The sequence below is a fragment of the Homo sapiens genome, chromosome 3, assembly GCF_000001405.40.
Source record: "Homo sapiens chromosome 3, GRCh38.p14 Primary Assembly".
Classification (NCBI taxonomy): Eukaryota; Metazoa; Chordata; class Mammalia; order Primates; family Hominidae; genus Homo; species Homo sapiens.
The window spans coordinates 46,344,188-46,362,376 of record NC_000003.12 but is presented as its reverse complement, the minus strand read 5'-3'; the positions used below and the strand labels follow the sequence as shown (position 1 = coordinate 46,362,376).

The 18,189-nt window shown below is 41.7% G+C and overlaps 1 protein-coding gene across 2 annotated transcripts, besides 2 other annotated features; it reads right to left on the bottom strand.

The window, feature by feature from the left end:
* CCR2 (C-C motif chemokine receptor 2) lies at positions 1,437–8,266 on the bottom strand. 2 transcript variants are annotated; one of them, NM_001123041.3, is made up of 3 exons: positions 8,200–8,266; positions 3,909–4,900; positions 1,437–2,700 (listed from the first exon to the last, which is right to left on the bottom strand). In NM_001123041.3, exons 2-3 carry the CDS (start codon positions 4,847–4,849, stop codon positions 2,517–2,519), a joined length of 1,125 nt encoding a protein of 374 aa, NP_001116513.2. In that variant the 5' UTR covers positions 4,850–4,900; positions 8,200–8,266; the 3' UTR covers positions 1,437–2,516. The 2 variants fall into 2 exon arrangements, with proteins under 2 accessions (NP_001116513.2, NP_001116868.1); NM_001123396.4 differs by having other exon boundaries at positions 1,437–4,900.
* Positions 12,000–12,149: an enhancer, noted in NCBI's record as "active region_19796". NCBI's record gives its function as "activates an Ori minimal core promoter by ATAC-STARR-seq in GM12878 lymphoblastoid cells {active_cell/tissue: GM12878}" and the evidence as "EXISTENCE:reporter gene assay evidence [ECO:0000049][PMID:35858748]".
* Positions 17,642–17,848: a silencer, noted in NCBI's record as "fragment chr3:46386020-46386226 (GRCh37/hg19 assembly coordinates)". NCBI's record gives its function as "represses an EF-1alpha promoter that drives an FKBP-Casp9 reporter gene in an ReSE screen in K562 erythroleukemia cells {active_cell/tissue: K562}" and the evidence as "EXISTENCE:reporter gene assay evidence [ECO:0000049][PMID:32094911]".

Below are 18,189 nucleotides of genomic sequence, written 5' to 3'. Positions count from 1 at the left end.
CACACACACACACACACACACACACACACACACACAGAGTGCCGAAGTGGCAATGTCTGAAGAAATTTCCAGCCTCATTCCTCCCATGCCTGGAACCAATCTCTTCTCCTCAATTCATGCACTGTCTTCCAGAGGTCAGCTCACCAGCCCATACTCCTTCTGTCACAGTGTGGCCCCTCTGGGTGGCCCTTGGTGGTTTTTCCTGTGGGCTAATCTCACCTGAAGCCTTTTCAATTTGTCAGGGAAGTTTTCATAATGAGCAAAAACAAAAGAGGAAGGAAGGATGGGCTCTTGAAGGTTTACTTTCTGGAGGCTTCGGGGCCTCTTTGCAAAATGCTCCAACCTCCCCAGCTGCTGGGGATATCACAGATCAAGGGAGGTGGCATGGGGTGGGCTATGCCAAGACCCTTCCTTACCAAAAAGTCTTCAGACACTCATCCCTCAGAATGATGATGAGGGATCATCATCTTCCACCTGCTTAACTCGAACAGCCTACTCAAATGTCCCCAGAATAAACGAGACTTGAGGATTCCACTTTAGAAAGAGAGATGGTTGGCATTTTTTTTTTTTTTGAGATGGAGTCTGGCTCTGTTGCCCAGGCTGGAGTGCAGTGGCCCGATCTCGGCTCACTGCAAGCTCCGCCTCCTGGATTCATGCCATTCTCCTGCCTCAGCCTCCCGGATGGCTGGCAATTTTTAAATGGCAGTTTCTTTGGCAGCAATAAAATCCTGCTGTGGCTGTTATTCCTATGATGCAAGACTGTCATTGCATTAGTCACTCTGTCCTCCAGGCTCTCAGCACTTTTCACAGATGCCTCTGTTCCTGCTCTGCACAGCGCACTGTGACTGTGCACAGGACCTTCTCTACCCCTCCCACTCCACAGCTGGCCCTGGACTTGGAGGTGTAAAGGACACTGGCATTAACATCTGTCTTTCTGTTTCCAACCCAGTCTGGCATAGGTAGACCCTCCGGGATGCTTGTCATATTGAATTCCATGATTGAAAATAAATGGATAGTTTTCCAGATTCTATATATGAAGTCACTATATACCACATGTCTTAATCGGTTTTTGTGCTTCTTAACAAACAACCCCTAAAACTCAGTGGCTTATCACAGCAAACACAGACTTCTTGCTCATGTTATATGTGGCTGCAGCTCCCTGTGTCTTCTCATTCACCAGGGCGCACGGGCTGACGGGTGTGATCTGGAATGGGCCTTCCTGTGGCTGAGCAAGAGGCTCCGCTTGGATGAGGCAGATGTCACTTCTGCTCACATTCCAGCAGCAGAGCCAGTGGTGGAGGGCGTGGGGTGTGTGGCCTGTAGGGCGCACTGCAAGTCACACCACAAGGGCAGGTGTGTGTAATCACACAGGGGAAGAAGTGAAAAGTTGTGAACACAACACAATCTTCCACACCACAGTGTAAAAAAACAGCCAGTTGTTTTTAAATCTTTTATCAACATAGTTATAGCATTGATTTATTTTCCAAATCATAGTTGTTAAAAACAGTATTTACATTTCATCACCATCAACTTAACATTTTATGCATTCATTAGGATCATACAAATATATGAAGGTGAAAGTTCTGCTCTGTCCCCACTTCTTTCTGAAACCTTCTTTAGCCATGTGGCCTGAAAGTAGAGCCATAGTCCAGCTTGGGAGTCTAGTTCCCAAGTTGCCTGGTTCTAGAAGCCCAGTGTTTCTTGCTTGCATCAGATCAGAAACACACTGGGCAACATAAGAACATTCTTAACTTGGCTCGACTAAGAGGAAAGTCTTTGCTTACTTCAGGGAGCTTCTCCACCTTCCATTCTTTACCAATAGGGTTTAAAAGCTTTGATTAGAAGCCAACTTGATTTAGGAGTTCCCACTGGCAAAATAGGGAACAATATGAGCATCAAGGACATCTGCGAAGCACTGAAACACTCGAATGTGATTAAACGCATGACTTCATAATGATACAAAACAAAACACAAAAGGCTTTTGGCAGCAAGCCTGAGAGAATGGAGATCCAGCTGAGATGACAGCGATGGAGCGTATACTGTGATTCAAACGACATCATTACTTAGATGCTGCATGCACATAGGCTAATGTGCCCACAGATCACACACTTCCAACTCCTGCCAATCAACAACTATTGGGTTGACTCAGCAGTCTCCCAAACATACCACCTGCTCAAAATTCTTAAGCTCAAAGCTAGAATTATCTCTGTGACTAATACAGCATTTTCACGTTTGACATGATAGTAACTCAAACTAACTCTTTACCACATTTACAAGTTGCAGTTTTCAGCTTTAATTTTATTTTTACTATTTAAAAAAAGTCTGAACTCTATGCCTGTATTCAAAAATGAGGAACTGGAAGGTAGTTTGGAAAATACTGTTTTCCAACCCAGCTGGAGTCTCTCTCCTCTCAGCCTTCCTGCCTGGTAACGTAGACACCAAGATTCACACTGTGAATCACACATCTGTGAAGCCAGACGTGTGATTTCCAAAGCAGAGATCTGTCATTTCTGTCTCTAGGCTCCTTCTTTGTCCTGAAGACTGGCTTCAGGGGCTCTGCCAATTGACTTTCCTTTTCCACGACCATCGAGGAGTCCTTGTGTAGTCACTTTCACATTCTTTCCTGGTCTCACTCCTGGACCTCCACACACTGGTTTTTGGAGTGGGGCAATCCTACAGCCAAGAGCTATGTGAAAAAGGCTGTGGGGAAAAGAGAAGAGTGAGGGGAGTGGCAAGGCAGGGAAAAGCAAGCACAAAACAAACCAGCTCAGATCCAGACAAGAAGCTTTACTGGGTTCTGATGCAGCCTTCCTGGCTCTCTCCACTTAGTTGATTTCGGAAATAGTTCTGCAGTGGTTCCACACGATCCCCGTCCTTTGCTCCTGGTGAAGGAACTCATCATTCTCCACCCCCTTCTCATAATCACTACCTCCTGGAGAGATCAAGCAAGAGCCTATATATATTGCATATACATATATTAGCATATCATAGATAATGCATCTTTTATAAACAAAAATTTTCTGAATTTTTAGACAGGGGGATGTGGCCTAAGAAGCATCTGAACAATGGAGCATGATATTTCATAGATTTCAAATGTAAGGTGCATGGGTGCCATAGATAAACTGTAATAAAGCAAAAATATGTCATGCACTTATGCAAAAGAGAATCATCGGACTCCACCAAAACTCCCAGGTTATTGCAGTTCCCAAACTCTCCCTGACCTGGTGAACCCTTCAAGGTTAAATACACGTGGCAGATGGGGCTAAGGACCAGTATCATCTCCTGGCTGAATGCGTGAGCCCTTTGCTCACCTTTGTCTTTGTCCAGGCTCAGCCATGCTCATGTCTCCCTCCTTCTCCTCTCAGCCCTGACCCCACTATCCCTCACTCCCATTCATCTGTGCCTGTCACATTCTCTTCTTCACCTCCAGCTGGCCCTTGATTTCAAGACATTGACAGAATCAGAGATTGAGTGAAGAAATTATGAAGACTAGAAAAAGAGGATTAGCACAAGGTAATGAGGCATTTTTCAGGAGCTGAGATGAGCTTTCTGGAGAGTCAAAGTCTCTACCCACAGTTTTTCTGGATTATTCCCTGAGCACATGTTGGATATGCATTGGGTGACATAGTCTGTATTAGTACACACAGCCCTGAGGTTCCTGGGCACCTGCTTTACAGGTTTCTATTGTTCAACAAACCCTTGAAGTTTGTTGTTATATACAGATTGTTATCTCCCTTTATAAACAACAATCAAACTGCTCCTCGTTTTATAAACCAGCCGAGACTTCCTGCTCCCCAGTGGAAGGCGTGTTTGTTGAAGTCACTCCATCCACTGTCTCCCTGTAGAAAACTGGACATTGTTTGCAGAAGCGCTTGGTGATGTGCTTTCGGAAGAACACCGAGAGATACCTTCTGAACTTCTCCCCAACGAAGGCATAGATGATGGGATTGATGCAGCAGTGAGTCATCCCAAGAGTCTCTGTCACCTGCGTGGCTTGGTCCAGTTGACTGGTGCTTTCACAGTTACTCAGGCCGAAGAATTCCTGGAAGGTGTTCAGGAGAATGACAATATTATAGGGAGTCCAGAAGAGAAAGTAAACAATCATGATGGTGAAGATGACTCTCACTGCCCTATGCCTCTTCTTCTCGTTTCGACACCGAAGCAGGGTTTTCAGGATTCCCGAGTAGCAGATGACCATGATGAGCAGCGGCAGGACCAGCCCCAAAATGTTCCTCATTATTGTGTGGAAATTATTCCATCCTCGTGGAAAATAAGGGCCACAGACATAAACAGAATCTTCTTTCTGGCATTTAGTAAAGATGATTCCTGGGACAGAAGCAAACACAGCCACCAACCAGGTGATCACACTTGTCACCACCCCAAAGGTGACCGTCCTGGCTTTTAAAGCAAACACAGCATGGACAATAGCCAGGTATCTATCGATTGTCAGGAGGATGATGAAGAAGATTCCGCCAAAATAACCGATGTGATACAGCCCTGTGAATAATTTGCACATTGCATTCCCAAAGACCCACTCATTTGCAGCAGAGTGAGCCCACAATGGGAGAGTAATAAGAAAAAGCAGATCAGAGATGGCCAGGTTGAGCAGGTAAATGTCAGTCAAGCACTTCAGCTTTTTGCAGTTTATTAAGATGAGGACGACCAGCATGTTGCCCACAAAACCAAAGATGAACACCAGCGAGTAGAGCGGAGGCAGGAGTTGGGCCCCAATTTGCTTCACGTCAAATTTATGACAGGGAGCACCGTAATCATAATCAAAAAAGGTGGTGACTTCTTCACCGCTCTCGTTGGTATTTCTGATAAACCGAGAACGAGATGTGGACAGCATGTTGTGGATGTACTGGGGAAATGCGTCCTTGTTCAATCCACTTTCTCTGTTCTGTAAACAAAGAACAAAATGATGACCACACAACACAAACACCGCAATCCATGATCTTCCAAATAGTCTGGCACCACATAAGCAACTTCCCAGTCTTTGCCCTCTCCCTTGCAGCCATCTCCCTGAAAGCATGTGTGCCAGTTCCTGATTTGCCTTTCATTCCTAGTGGCAGACATCAATGATTTACCCAACAGCCATTTTCCGACACCCTTTATCTTCCCCAGCAAACCAGATTCTCATTTTCAGGCTAAAAGCGCTGGGCGTTTGTTTTCTCTGGCTCCTTTGCAGGTGGTGCATAGGTCTGTGACTCATTGCTGGACCATAATATGAAAAGGGAGTCTGCTGGGGGCTTCTGAGAAAGCTCTTCTTCCCTGATAAGACAGACACAAGAGAACCCTCCACCTGCCCCTCCTGCTCTGGCAGCATGCCTAGTGAGGGCATGGTGCCATGAATGGAAGACCTAGAGAACCATGAGAAGCCAGGCAGAATCCTATTATCACTGAGTCCTAAACCCACCCTTGAACTATTCACCTTCTGCCTTCTTTTTTTTTTTTTTTTGGAGACGGAGTCTCGCTGTGTCTCCAGGCTATAGTGCAGTGGCCATGATCTCAGCTCACTGCAACCTCCACCTCCTGGGTTCAAGTGATTCTCCTGCCTCAGCCTCCTGAGTAGATGGGACTATAGGCGTGCACCACCATGCCCCGCTAATTTTTGTATTTTTAGTAGAGATGGGGATTCACCATGTTGGCCAGGATGGTCTCGGTCTCTTGACCTCCTGATGCACCCGCCTTGGCCTCTCAAATTGCTGGGAGAAAAACAAGCCCCTGTTTTAAAGCCATTATGAACTGCATTTTCTGTTCTCTGAAGTCAAAAACGTTCTAACTGATGATTCTCTCAGCTTTCTGCCTCCATCATCCTGCCAAAACTTCTCTTGTTAAGATTGCAGTGACAACCCAATTTTTCAAATGCCCTGGTTTTATTCCAATTCCACCCTCTTCAAGTATTTGATCCTTCTGCTAACTTCCTCCATTTACAATTCTTTTTGGCTTCCAGATGGGAGGGGCTGTGCTACCGCTTTTTATTCATGTTCTTTGCTGGCATCTCCTCCCCGTGCCCACACCTTAAGATTCCCCAGGCACCACACTTAGCTCTCACCTCTTTAATTTTTTGCCTCTTTATCCTTGCTACAAAGTTCTTCCTGAATTGTATTGTCTAAACTCATGGTTCCTACTCCCTTCTATGCTACTGTTTTCTAAAGCTCTGTCTTCAAGCTCCAGCTTTCCCCTAAGCCTTAGAGTTGAATTTCCCATTGCCTGATGCATATCTCCCCATGCATGTATTCACTGCATCAACACTTATTGAACACCTACTATGAACCATACTCAGTTTTAGGCACTGAAGTGAGCAAAGTGGGTATCATGCAGGGACCTCAAATTCAACCCACCCCAAATGGGGCACTGCTGAAAACTCCTTCCGATTGTGGATTCCTCCATTGCCTAAGAAGCAAAATTGGGCATTGCCCTGGGTTGCTTCTCCTTCTGAAAATTAGGAGCCAGTTTTTGGAGCCAAACAAACCTGGATTTGAATCCTTATAGGCAGTGTAATCTGGGGCCAATTACTCCTTCAAGTGCCGATTTCTTTATGCATAAAATATTAACTATGCTGAGTTGCTGTGAAGATCAATGGAGTAAGGACTTAGGACAGCATCTGACACAGAGAAATGCCCTGTATTATTATCATGTCATTTGAGTTCCACCTCATAGATGCCTCTCAGATTCATCCCCTCTGCACTGCTTTCAACTGTCACTTTCTTGCTTCACACACTCCTCACTCCTGGCTTTGTTGTAGTCTTTCCTTTGCTCATGGCTCATCTCAAGCCATGTTCCCTCTCAACCTATCTTCTCTTAAGTTGAAATTGAATAGTCACTCTTAGCTTAAAACCTCCAGTAGCCCTATGACTTATATGTGGTGGGCTTCAAAGATAATGTCCAGACTGCCCAGCACAACATCTTTTCTGAGTTTGCCTCTTTTCAGCCTCACCTCCAGTCCCTTCTCCAATCCCAAATCCTGTGCTTCAGTCACAGCCATCTTCTCTTCATTTTCCCTAAACTCACCATTTCCTTCATGCTTCAGTGGTTTTGCAGGTCCTTGCCCCTCTGCCCAAAATGATTGGTGAGCTTCTATTCACCCTTCAATACCTCCTGCTCAAATCCCCCTTCTCTGTGAAGCCTAATCTGTATCCTCTGTCATATTACTCTTATCACATAACACTGCATGCATCTAGATAAGCACTTATTATGTTATCTGCTACACACAGCATGTTCCTCAAGATCAAGGACTGGATTATGCTTCTATTTTCAGCTCTTATGATAGTACCTGGCTAAAGGAGGCACCAATAAATGTTCACTGAATGAGTACATAAAACTCTTTATAATAAGAACTATAAGCCCTAACATCATCAGGACTTGATTCTCAAGAATTTTTTTTCTGGCAGTGACTGTGAATTTCTTTTCCACCCACCTGTATACTTTATCCTTCCATTTCTCTTGCAATTGACACTTTTCACAAGTCTTGTATTTCATATCACTGAGCCAGATTCTTGAAATCTGGAGAAGCTAAATAAGACCTCTGATCAAAGTTGGAAAAAAATGCATCTGCCTAAAGAATCACAACTGTGGTCATTAATTGAGTGCTCCTGAAGCTCAGATGCTATGTTAAATGCTGTGCACACATTACTTAATTTCATTTTTACAACTGGCTAGCATGTAGCTTCTACTACAGTGAACAATGAGCAAGATGCCTGAAATGTGCTGTCCTAGGTGTCATTTCAAGTGTCAGAACATGTCACCCAGAACTGATAGAAATCTATCTTTCAGAAAATAAATTCCTTACTTCTGCCTCTGTGGATCTCCTGAGTTGAGGCAAGGGACACATTTTGGTTCAGAGCTTGGATGGTCCTATATTTAGACTAACAGTTCCAGCTCTTTAACGTCCTTGGGTGCTCAGAGGGGCAGAGTGAGCCCCTGGGTGTGTGGACTGGTGACTGAGCAGAGTGGCTGTCCTGGCCTCGCTTGCTGCCCACTCTCCCCCATCACCTGCTGCACGCTGCTCTTCCTCAGGGTTTCTCTAACATCTCCTGGTGCACATGCCATCCCCACCCCTGCCTCTCATCTTGATCATTCCCCCCAAGTGTGCAGGCTTTGCAGTTCCCCAGGGTGTACCCAGACCCGGCATTTCCAGCTTTGAGGTGCGTTGAGCCTATGAATCAGAAAGTAATGGAAAAAATGCCTACAACTCACCAGCTTGTGGCTTGTCTCAGGCAGTCCTGGTATGTCAGGCTTCTCAGCAACTGAACCAAACAGATCTAGAGGTAGAAACTTGGCATGCAGAAGTAGGAAATAAAGTTTCCTGCAGAAAGTGAAGGCGGAGATACAGGGCAACTAATGGTAAAGATTTGAAAAAAAAAATCAGAAAAATATAGTTCTTCTTTTCCAGTCAGGAACATTGTACATTGGGTTGAGGTCTCCAGAATAGGATTAATTTTGAAATCTTGCTTATGCAACCTTGAGTGTGAGTCAGGCAAACCCTGTACATCTGCTCCTGTTTCTAACGACTCTGAGCTTCTTTATCTTGTGGGTCTTTATACCTGGAACATTTCCACTCTCTGCTCTCCTACTAGTGATAATTTGCATGATATGAGCACAACAGAATGTTTCATGTTCCAGAGAATAAAGGGTATTGGTGATAGTGGAGGAAGTATAATGAGGTTTTACTGCGATCATGTGTGCTGGTTTCAGTGGTATCATGGATTCAGAATCTGGTTAGAAATTTCATTTAGATAAGACTTTAAAATTTTTTTTTATTTAATTCACATAATAATTGTATATATTTATGGGACACAATGTGATGTTTTGCTACATGTATACATTGTGCAATGATCAAATCAGGGTAATTACATATCCATCCTCTGAAACATTTATCATTTCTTTTGAAATAATAATGATATTGAAAACCCTCTCTTCTAGCTATTTATATATACAGAATTCATTATTAACTACCGTCACCCTACTTGGAGCAGAGCACCAGCACTTGTTTCTCCTATCTCATGGTAACTTTGTACCCGTTGATCAACTGCTGCCCATTCTCACCTCCTCTCTTTCCTCCCCAGTCTCTGGTAACCACTGCTCTACTGTCTTTTTCTAAGATAGCAACTTTTTTTTTTTTTTTAAATTGGGTTTCATTCTGTCACCCAGACCGGAGTGCACTGGCACAGTCTCAGCTCACTGCTACCTCCACCTTCTGAGTTCAAGCCATCCTCCCACCTCAGCCTCCTGAGTAGCTAGGATTACAGGTGTGTGCCATCATGCCCGGCTAAGCAACTTATTTAAAAAAAAATTCCACATAAGAGTGAGATCACGTGGTATTTGTCTATCTGTGTGTGGCTTATTTCACTTAACATCCTCTAGGTTCATCCACATTATCACAAATTACAGGATTTCAAACTTTTTAATGAAAAGGAAATGCTAAATTATCTCTTGTGTCAGGAACGTCCTTAGCAAGAAGAACCTCAGTTATTTTAAATGCCCCTCCTTGGAAAGACGTTTTGTTAAAAGATAATGTAAATTTTGCAATGGGGACATCAGACTAGGAGCATTCCTAAGATTGTGCAGAGAACATGGTGTCATCTAAGTTGGCCCCTGGCACTTTCTGGAATCCAGCAGACACCGGAGGCAGGATCTCATGCTGTGGACTTGGCAAGTTTCTAAGTTTCCATTTCCCAAATATGAAATATGAATAACAAGACTGGGGGTCTATGAGGGTAAATGGACCTAAAGCAGCTAGAGCAGGGTCTGGCAGGCACTCCACAGGTAACAAACAGAACAGAACAGTCTGAGCCCTGCAGAGTGCCAGAGGTTGAAGGATGCATCCACTGCTAGAGCCAACAACAATCAAATGCTCAGGGCAGTCCAGGTGTCCTTTCCAGATTTCAAGAAGTTGGCTTTTTTGCTGTTGTTGTTGTTGTTGTTGTTGTTGTGTTATGTTGTGTTTTTGCTTTCTTTTGCGACAAGATCTTGCTCTGTTGCCTAGGCTGGAGTGCGGTGGCATGATCATGCTTCACTGCAGTCTCAACCTCAAGCAATCCTCTCATCTCAGCCTCCCAAGTAGCTGAGACTACAGGTGCATGCCACCATGCCTGACTATTTTTTGTAGAGATGGGGTTTTGTCATGTTGCCCGGGCTGGTCTCGAACTCCTGGGCTCAGGCAATCTGCCTGCCTCAGCCTCCTGAAGGGCTGGGATTACAGGTGTGAGCTCCTACACCCAGCCCAGATTTCAGTCAGTTGTAACCATGTGTCCTGTGTAAGACCTGGTATATGTGCTAAGTAAGACCTGAGACTTGAAGGGTCTCAGGTTTTTTCTTGGAAGACAGCTCATTGCCTGTTCAGGAACATAGCAAGTTCCCCAGTTGTCTCTCAATGTGTCTCTGGGCCGGAATTGGAGCATATCTCTGAGATTTCAATAATAAGACAGGTCATCCCTGACCTGGTAACACTGAGCTTGCTGCCACTTCTGGAATCTCCTGACCCTGGCATCTTGCCACCTGTTCCTATGATTCAACCCAGGATGGGGAAGAGCAAGAGCCAGAAATTTTGCTCTGGCTGATTAGGACCGCTCTCCAATTTTGTCTTCACATTGTGATCTTTGTCTCCAGCCCTGTAATTTCATAAACAAGGAGAGGCACAGAGGTAGATAGTTGCAGAGCCAGGATTCAAACCTTTGGCTTATACTGACACAGAGGGCAGGATAACAGAGGGCACCCTCCGCTGAGATTTTGAAGAGACAGTATAGAATGAAAATATTTTTGGAGGGGTGAGCAGGCTTAAAAGAAGCAACAGGGATGGTGAGGTGGTCTGTCATCCCTATGCTTTGTGGGAGACCAGAATTTGACACCCTAAAATGTACCTCTTTTGCATAAGGATTGTTGAGCTGAAGGCAATTAAGAAGCAGATGAAGGAAAGCTCTTTTCCCTCCCTTTATTTGTCTAAAAGCAGGATATAGACTTACAAAGACAAAACGGATCTGCACCCCCCTCCACACCTTCTGCCAGGGTGAACAAAGGTTCACCACTGAAGACAAATTTAAATCCTTGTGGACCTGGAGATGGCACCAGAGGAATCTTCATTAACAAGTATTACTAACCAGCCTTTACCTCCATTTATTCCTTTTGCCTTCCTACAAGTCACTGTCCCTAGAGGCTCAAAGTTCATTTTCTTTGTCTTGTCATATCTCTAAAATGTTACTGAACTTTGTTGAAGATGCTATATGAGCTGGAATTCAAAGTCACCTTTTTAAGAATTATTCATTCCCTGGATAGCTCCTATGTACGTATAAAATATGTACGTTAATAAACTTTTCTCGTGTTAATCTGTCTTTTGTTACAGGGGTCCATTCCAAGAACTTATGAGCATTGAGGAAAAAATTATTTTTTTCTTCCTTAACAGCTAGAAGGATCAAAAGAATAAACAATACCACTTGAGTGCTACAGACAGCTGGAATTGAGAGCTGCAGGTTGATGGCTCAGCCACTGCTAGAAGTTCAGCAAAGCAGTAGGACAGCAGGGGCAGAAAGTATCCTAACCTCCTTCTCCCACTCTGACCTCCTACCAGTGCTTCCCAGTGACTGAACCAGATGGGAAGAGGGAATAATGGACAGTCTAGGCAATGTAGCCCCTAAAATCAGCATCCTGGGACTCAGAGTGGATCTGGGGGAGTGTGGCAAATAACCACACAACCGTCAAGTCAAACAAATTTTTTTCTTGCAACTTTCTTCTTACCTCGTCCATATATTAATAGATAGTTAGAAAATTGGGAATCTTGATCAGTACATCTTAGAATTCTTTATGCACACGGAGAGAGTTAAAAAGGATGTTTTTTCATGAGTTTGAGAATTCTGTATCTACCCATTGGCACTGGGTTCATGGTTTCTAAGGTTCCCAGTCTCAATGATGAGTATGGCCCTTCGAGCAGGCTTGAAGGAAAGTATGTCACAAGCCACTGAGCTCTGATGTGCCTGCTGACCAAGCAGGATTACATAGAAGGCAGGGCTGTGGTCACCTCAAGGTGACATGGGGCAAGGAAGAGGAGAAGCTCAATTTTTCTGCAAGCCAATGATATGAGAATAGTTTATGCTCCCCAAATAACAAAAGAAGACCCAGAATGCTGGCCCTAAGATGTTTAAGATCTTGTTTATTTTTACACTCAAGGTCAGCAGTTGAGTTGGGGATTAGGCCATTGAAACTGAAAGTTAGAGTTGTACTCAGAACCTCTCTGCCACTCCATGGATGGCAAGAACATGTGAGAGAAAGCATAGCTAGAGAGAATTGGTGGTGGGGCAAGAAGACAGAAAAGGTTTTTCAACAGCCTGAAGTACTTTAACGATGCCCTTAGCAATTTCCTAAGTAATGGGCAATAGATTTGTTCAGTTAGTGCCTTTAGAAAATAGAGAAATTCTTGCCTCTTGTCAACACAGATGCTTTTGGTTCATTGCGGTTTTTATGGTTTGCATGCTTCCTGTGACCTACTAAAATAGATTAGTGAGTTCTAGGATTTTACATCTTCAATTCTGGTTAAACATGATCTGGACCAATATGATGCCCACAGAAAAAGCAGTAATTATGTTCCTACCTATCCTGGTCAAGTCTTCATAATAAAAATGAAGCAAACTATTACCACTGTTTTTGTCACAAATGAAAAAGTAACACAACAGGGCATAGAGTCACAGCAAGAAAGCCCAGCAACTGCAAATGATTCTTGGAAAGGAAGTGTCAACTAGCAGAGGGCAGATAAGAATTTCTCCTCCATCTTCTAAGTTCAACTTTGTCTCCAGATGAACCAGGAGTAGACAAGAATGTATGATTAGAAATAGAAATTAAAAGAACAAAATGGTAATTTTGACTTAGAGTGTAAATGCAGCAGATTAGATGTCATACCTTTAGGCCAAACAAACTGTAGGAGAAAAAAGGGGAAATCAGAATCTTTAATACATGTACTTGCTAAAAAGCTGTCTCAAGTGACGGAAAGAAATTCATTTGAACCCTATAGTAGGAATTCTTTTGTAGCCTAGATGTTTTAAATGTCTCTGTGATTAAGATCTCAGTATAGATGCCTCAGAGGTAGCCTGCTCTAGGGAGGAATCTGTGGCTGGGGATAGGCCAAGACAGGTATTTAGAAGGCATTTATAGATGTCCCCAAGACTTGGCAACAGCAGGTTGGGAGCCGAGTCTGGGAGTGAGAAGCTAAGATTCATACTCCCCACCAGCATATTCCCTGACACTAAGCTTGGTGAGTAGAAGGAGCAATAGAGGGAGTACTTGCAGGAAGAAGTTTAATGAATATCATTGTGGCTTCTGAGGTGTCCCAGGGAGGGGCACCATGCTATAGAAAACATCAGGAAACCCAGACTGTGCTCATTGTTGGTACAGATGGCATGAGAGGAAACCCACAGAGCTGATGTGGCAGAGGTTCTGATTGGTGAACATGATTAGACTTACCCTGGGTGGGCATGAGTGATGGAGACAATGAGATGGACCCTGACCTACCATGACTGATTGGAGTTGAGCCCAACTGATGGTGACTTTTGCGGGGACCATAAACCTCTGATGGTGGGAAAGAATAAGTGTGTGGAGGACAACTCCTTTGTAATGCAACTTAGGTGTATATATTTCTATTTAAAAAGTAATGCATGCTGAAAGCAAAAGTTGACTCTTTAAAAGATCAACAAAGTTGACAAACCTTTAGCTATGCTAAGACAGAAGAAGAAGACAAAAAGAATACAGAGAAGACACAAATAACTAAGATCAGGTAAGGTGGGGACATTATCAACTTTACAAAAATTAAAAGATTATAAGATAATACTATGAAAAAATGCACACCAATAAATTAAATAACCTAGATTAAATGAACAAATTTCTAAAATACATAAATTGCTAAAAAGTTACTCAAGAAGAAATAGAAAATCTGAAAAGATCTGTAAAAATTAAAGAGATCAAATTGGTAATCAGAAACCTCCCAACACAGAAAAATGTTAAGAACCAGACGGCTTCACTGGTAAGTTCTACCAAACATTTAAAGAAAAATTAATATCACTCCTTCTCAAACGTTTAAAAAATGAAAGAGGAGAAAACACTCCCTCATTCATTCTAAGAAGACAGCATTACCATTATAGCAAAGCCAGACAAATAAACCACAAAAAACCTGTGGACTGATATTGCTTATGAATATAGATGCAAAAACTCTAAACAAAATACTAGCAAACTAAATCCAATGGCATATTAAAAGGGTTATACACCATGACCAAGTGAAATTTATATAAAGAATGCAAATGTAGTACAACATAAAAAATCAACCAATGTAACATCAACACTAATAGAATGAAGGAAAAAAAATCTCACATGATAATCTCAACTGACACAGAAAAAGCATTTGACAAATTAAATACCCTTTATATCAAAAACACTCCAAGAAGTAGGAGTAGGAAGGAACTTCCTCAACATGATAAAAGATATTTGTAAAAAACCCACAGCTAACATTATACTCAATGGTTAAAGACTGAAAAATTTCTCTCTAACATCAGGAAAAAGACAAGAATGCCCATTTCACCATGGTTATTCAACATCATACTGGAAGTTCTAGCCAGGGAAATTAGGCAAGAAAAGGAAATAAAAGGCATCCAAATGAGAAAGAAAGAAGCAAAACTATCTTTATTCACAGATGACATGATATGTAGAAAATCCCAAATAATCCTCAAAAAAACTATCAAAGTTAACAAGCAAATTCAGCAAAATTGCAAGGTATAAGATTGTTGGGAACAGGCCCCCCAAAATCTGGCCATAAACTGGCCCCAAAACTGGCCATAAAAACCGCTGCAGCACCGTGACATGTTCATGATGGCCATAATGCCCACGCTGGAAGGTTGTGGGCTTACCGGAATGAGGGCAAGGAACACCTGTCCCACACAGGGCAGAAAACCGCTTAAAGGCATTCTTAAACCACAAACAATAGCATGAGTGATCTATGACTTAAGGACATGCTCCTGCTGCAGATAACTAGCCCAACCCATCCCTTTATTTCAGCCCTTCCCTTCGTTTCCCATAAGGGATACTTTTAGTTAATCTAATATCTATAGAAACAATGCTAATGACTGGCTTGCTGTTAATAAATATGTGGGTAAATCTCTGTTTGAAGCTCTCAGCTCTGAAGGCTGTGAGACGCCTGATTTCCCACTTTACACCTCTATATTTCTGTGTTTGTGTCTTTAATTCCTCTAGTGCTTCTAGGTTAGGGTCTCCCCAACTGAGCTGGTCTCAGCATAAGATCAACACAAAGAATCAGTTGAGTTTCTATACACCTGCAATGAACATCCAACAGGAAATTGAGAAAATAATTTTATTTACAATAGCATAAAAAAATGCAATACCTAGGAATAAATTTCACCAAAATTTAAAGGTGAAAGACTTGTACCCCAAAACTACAAAACACTGCTGAAAGAAATTAAAGAAGACCTAAATAAAGAGAAAGAAAGCTCATATTCATGTATTAGAATACTTAAAATTGTTGAGATGGCAATGTTACTGAAAGCTACCTACAGTGTCAATGCAATCTCTAACAAAATTTTAATTTTGTAGAATAGAAAAGTCAATCCTCATATCCCTATTAAATTGCAAGAGGCCCTGACAATCTTTAAAAAAGAAAAAGAAGAATATTGCAGTACTCACACTTTCTAGTTTCAAAACTTACTACAAATCTACAGTAATCAAGATAGTGTGATACTGATACAAGGATAGACATGTAGATCAATGGAATAGAATTTAGATTCCAGAAATAAACTCATACATTTATTATCAATTGACTTTCAACAAAGGTGTCAATACTATTATTAAATGAGGAGATGATAGACTCTTCACAAATGGTGCTGGCACAGCTGAATATCCACATGCAAATGAGTAAAGTTGGACCTCTTCCTCACATCATATGCAAAAATTAACTAAAAATGAATCAGCGACCTAAGTAAATGAGTCAAAACTATAAAACTCTTAGAAGAAAATAGAGGGGTAAACCTTCATTACCTCTGATTTGGTTATAAATTCTTAGAGGTGACATCAAAAGCATGAGCAATAAAAGAAATAAATTGATAAATATGCTTCATCAAAATAAACAACTTTTGGGCATCAAAGGACATTATCAATAAAGTGAAAAGACAGCCAGTAAAATGAGAAAAAACATTTGCAAATCATATATCTGATAAGGGCCTAGTATGCAGAATATTTAAAGAATGCATGCATGTCAACAACAAAGACAATCTAGTTTTAAAATGGGCAAAACATACACGAAGAGGCATTTCTCCAAAGATGATATATAAATGACCAAAAAGTACATGAAAAGGTACTCAACATCAATGTTCATAAGGAAAATGCAAAGAAAACCACAATGATATATCACTTTACACTCATTAGAATGGCTATAACAAAAATAGAAAATAACAAGTGTTGTTGAGGATATGGAGAAATTGGAACTTGCTTACATTGCTAGTAGGAATATAAAATGGGGCATCAGATTTGGAAAACAGTTTAATGGTTCCTAAAAAAAAATGCTAAACATAGGATTAGCATATAACCCTGCAATTTCATCTTAGATATATACATAAAAGAATTGAAAATAGGTAACCAAATTCTTGTACACAAATATACATAGCAGCACTATTCACAATAGTTGAGAGATGGAAACAACCCAAATGTCCATAAACCAAAAAATGGATAACAAATTGTGGTCTGTATACAGTTATTCATAAAAAGAAATGAAGTACTGATACATGCTGCAATGTGGATTAGCCTCAAAAACATGCTTGGTGAAAGAAGCCAGACATAAAAGGTACATATTGTGCCTCCATTTTTATGGAATATCCAGAATAAATAAATCCCTAGAGACAGAAAGCAGGTTGGTGGTTGCTAGGAGCTAAGAGAGGAAATAATGGGGAGTAACTGCTTAATGGGTACAAGGTTTTATTTTGGAGTGATGAAAATGTTTTGGAAGTAGAGCTAGTGGTTGTACAATATTGTGAATATAATAAATGCCACTAAATTTTTCATTTCATGTTATGTGAATTCCACCTCAATAAAAATGCATTTACCATAGAAAAATCAAACATAGAAAGTAAAAATTAAGGGGTGCATAATCATTTATAATTTCATGACCCCAAAACAACATGTTAGTATTTTAGGTTACTTCTATCTGCCCCATCTTCCCCCAATTTATAGGTTTGTTTTTGCTGTTAGTATTGTTTATATGGCATTGTAGGCTTATTATATATATCCTTTTGTACCTTTTTGTTTTTCTACTAGCAACCCCAAATTTTTCCATGCTGTAAATTATTCATAAACATAATTTTAATGGCTGCTGCATACTGGTCAAATGGTTCATAGATTTGTCATTCAACAAATGAGTACTCAGGAGTCTATACCATTTTACATCCATTGTTTGTCCAGAAGACATGACAATGGGTATAAAAAGGTGAATAAAACATACCCAGCTGATATGGTTTGACTGTGTCCCCACCCAAATTTCATCTTGAATTGTAGTTCCCATAATTACCACATGTCATGGGAGGAATCTGGTGGGAGGTAATTGAATCATGGAGGCAGATTTTTCCCGTGCTGTTCTTTTGATAGTGAATAAGTATCACAAGATCTGATGGTTTTATAAAGGGCAGTTCCCCTGCACACGTTCTCTTGCCTACCACCATGTAAGACGTGCCTTTGCTCCTCCTTTGCCTCCCTCATGATTGTGAGGCCTCCAGCCATGTGGAATTGTGAGTCCATTAAACCTCTTTTCTCTTTATAAATTACCCAGTCTCAGGTATGTCTTTACTAGCAGCATGAAAACAGACTAATACGCCAGCCTTGGCCCCAAGAAACTTTTGTGTTCCAAGGTGTTAGTCCAAACTACACCATTTTGTAAGCCCCCTGCTATTTCGCAGACCCTGGTCAAAGTGAAACATTCCATGGGGGTTCAGGCTGTGAGAAACATCCTGTCTAACTACCTGATTCCAAGGCACAGGAACATCCTTATCATACCCTGCCAGGCAAAGGCCCACCTGAAGGAACATCCCTACCACATTCTGCTGGGAAAAAGTGCAAGAAGCATCACACTCTATGGAAGCAAGGACCAAACTGCCTCATCATGGGAACGTCTTATCAACATCTTCTTGGGCAGCAAGCCATACTGCTCAGACCCCA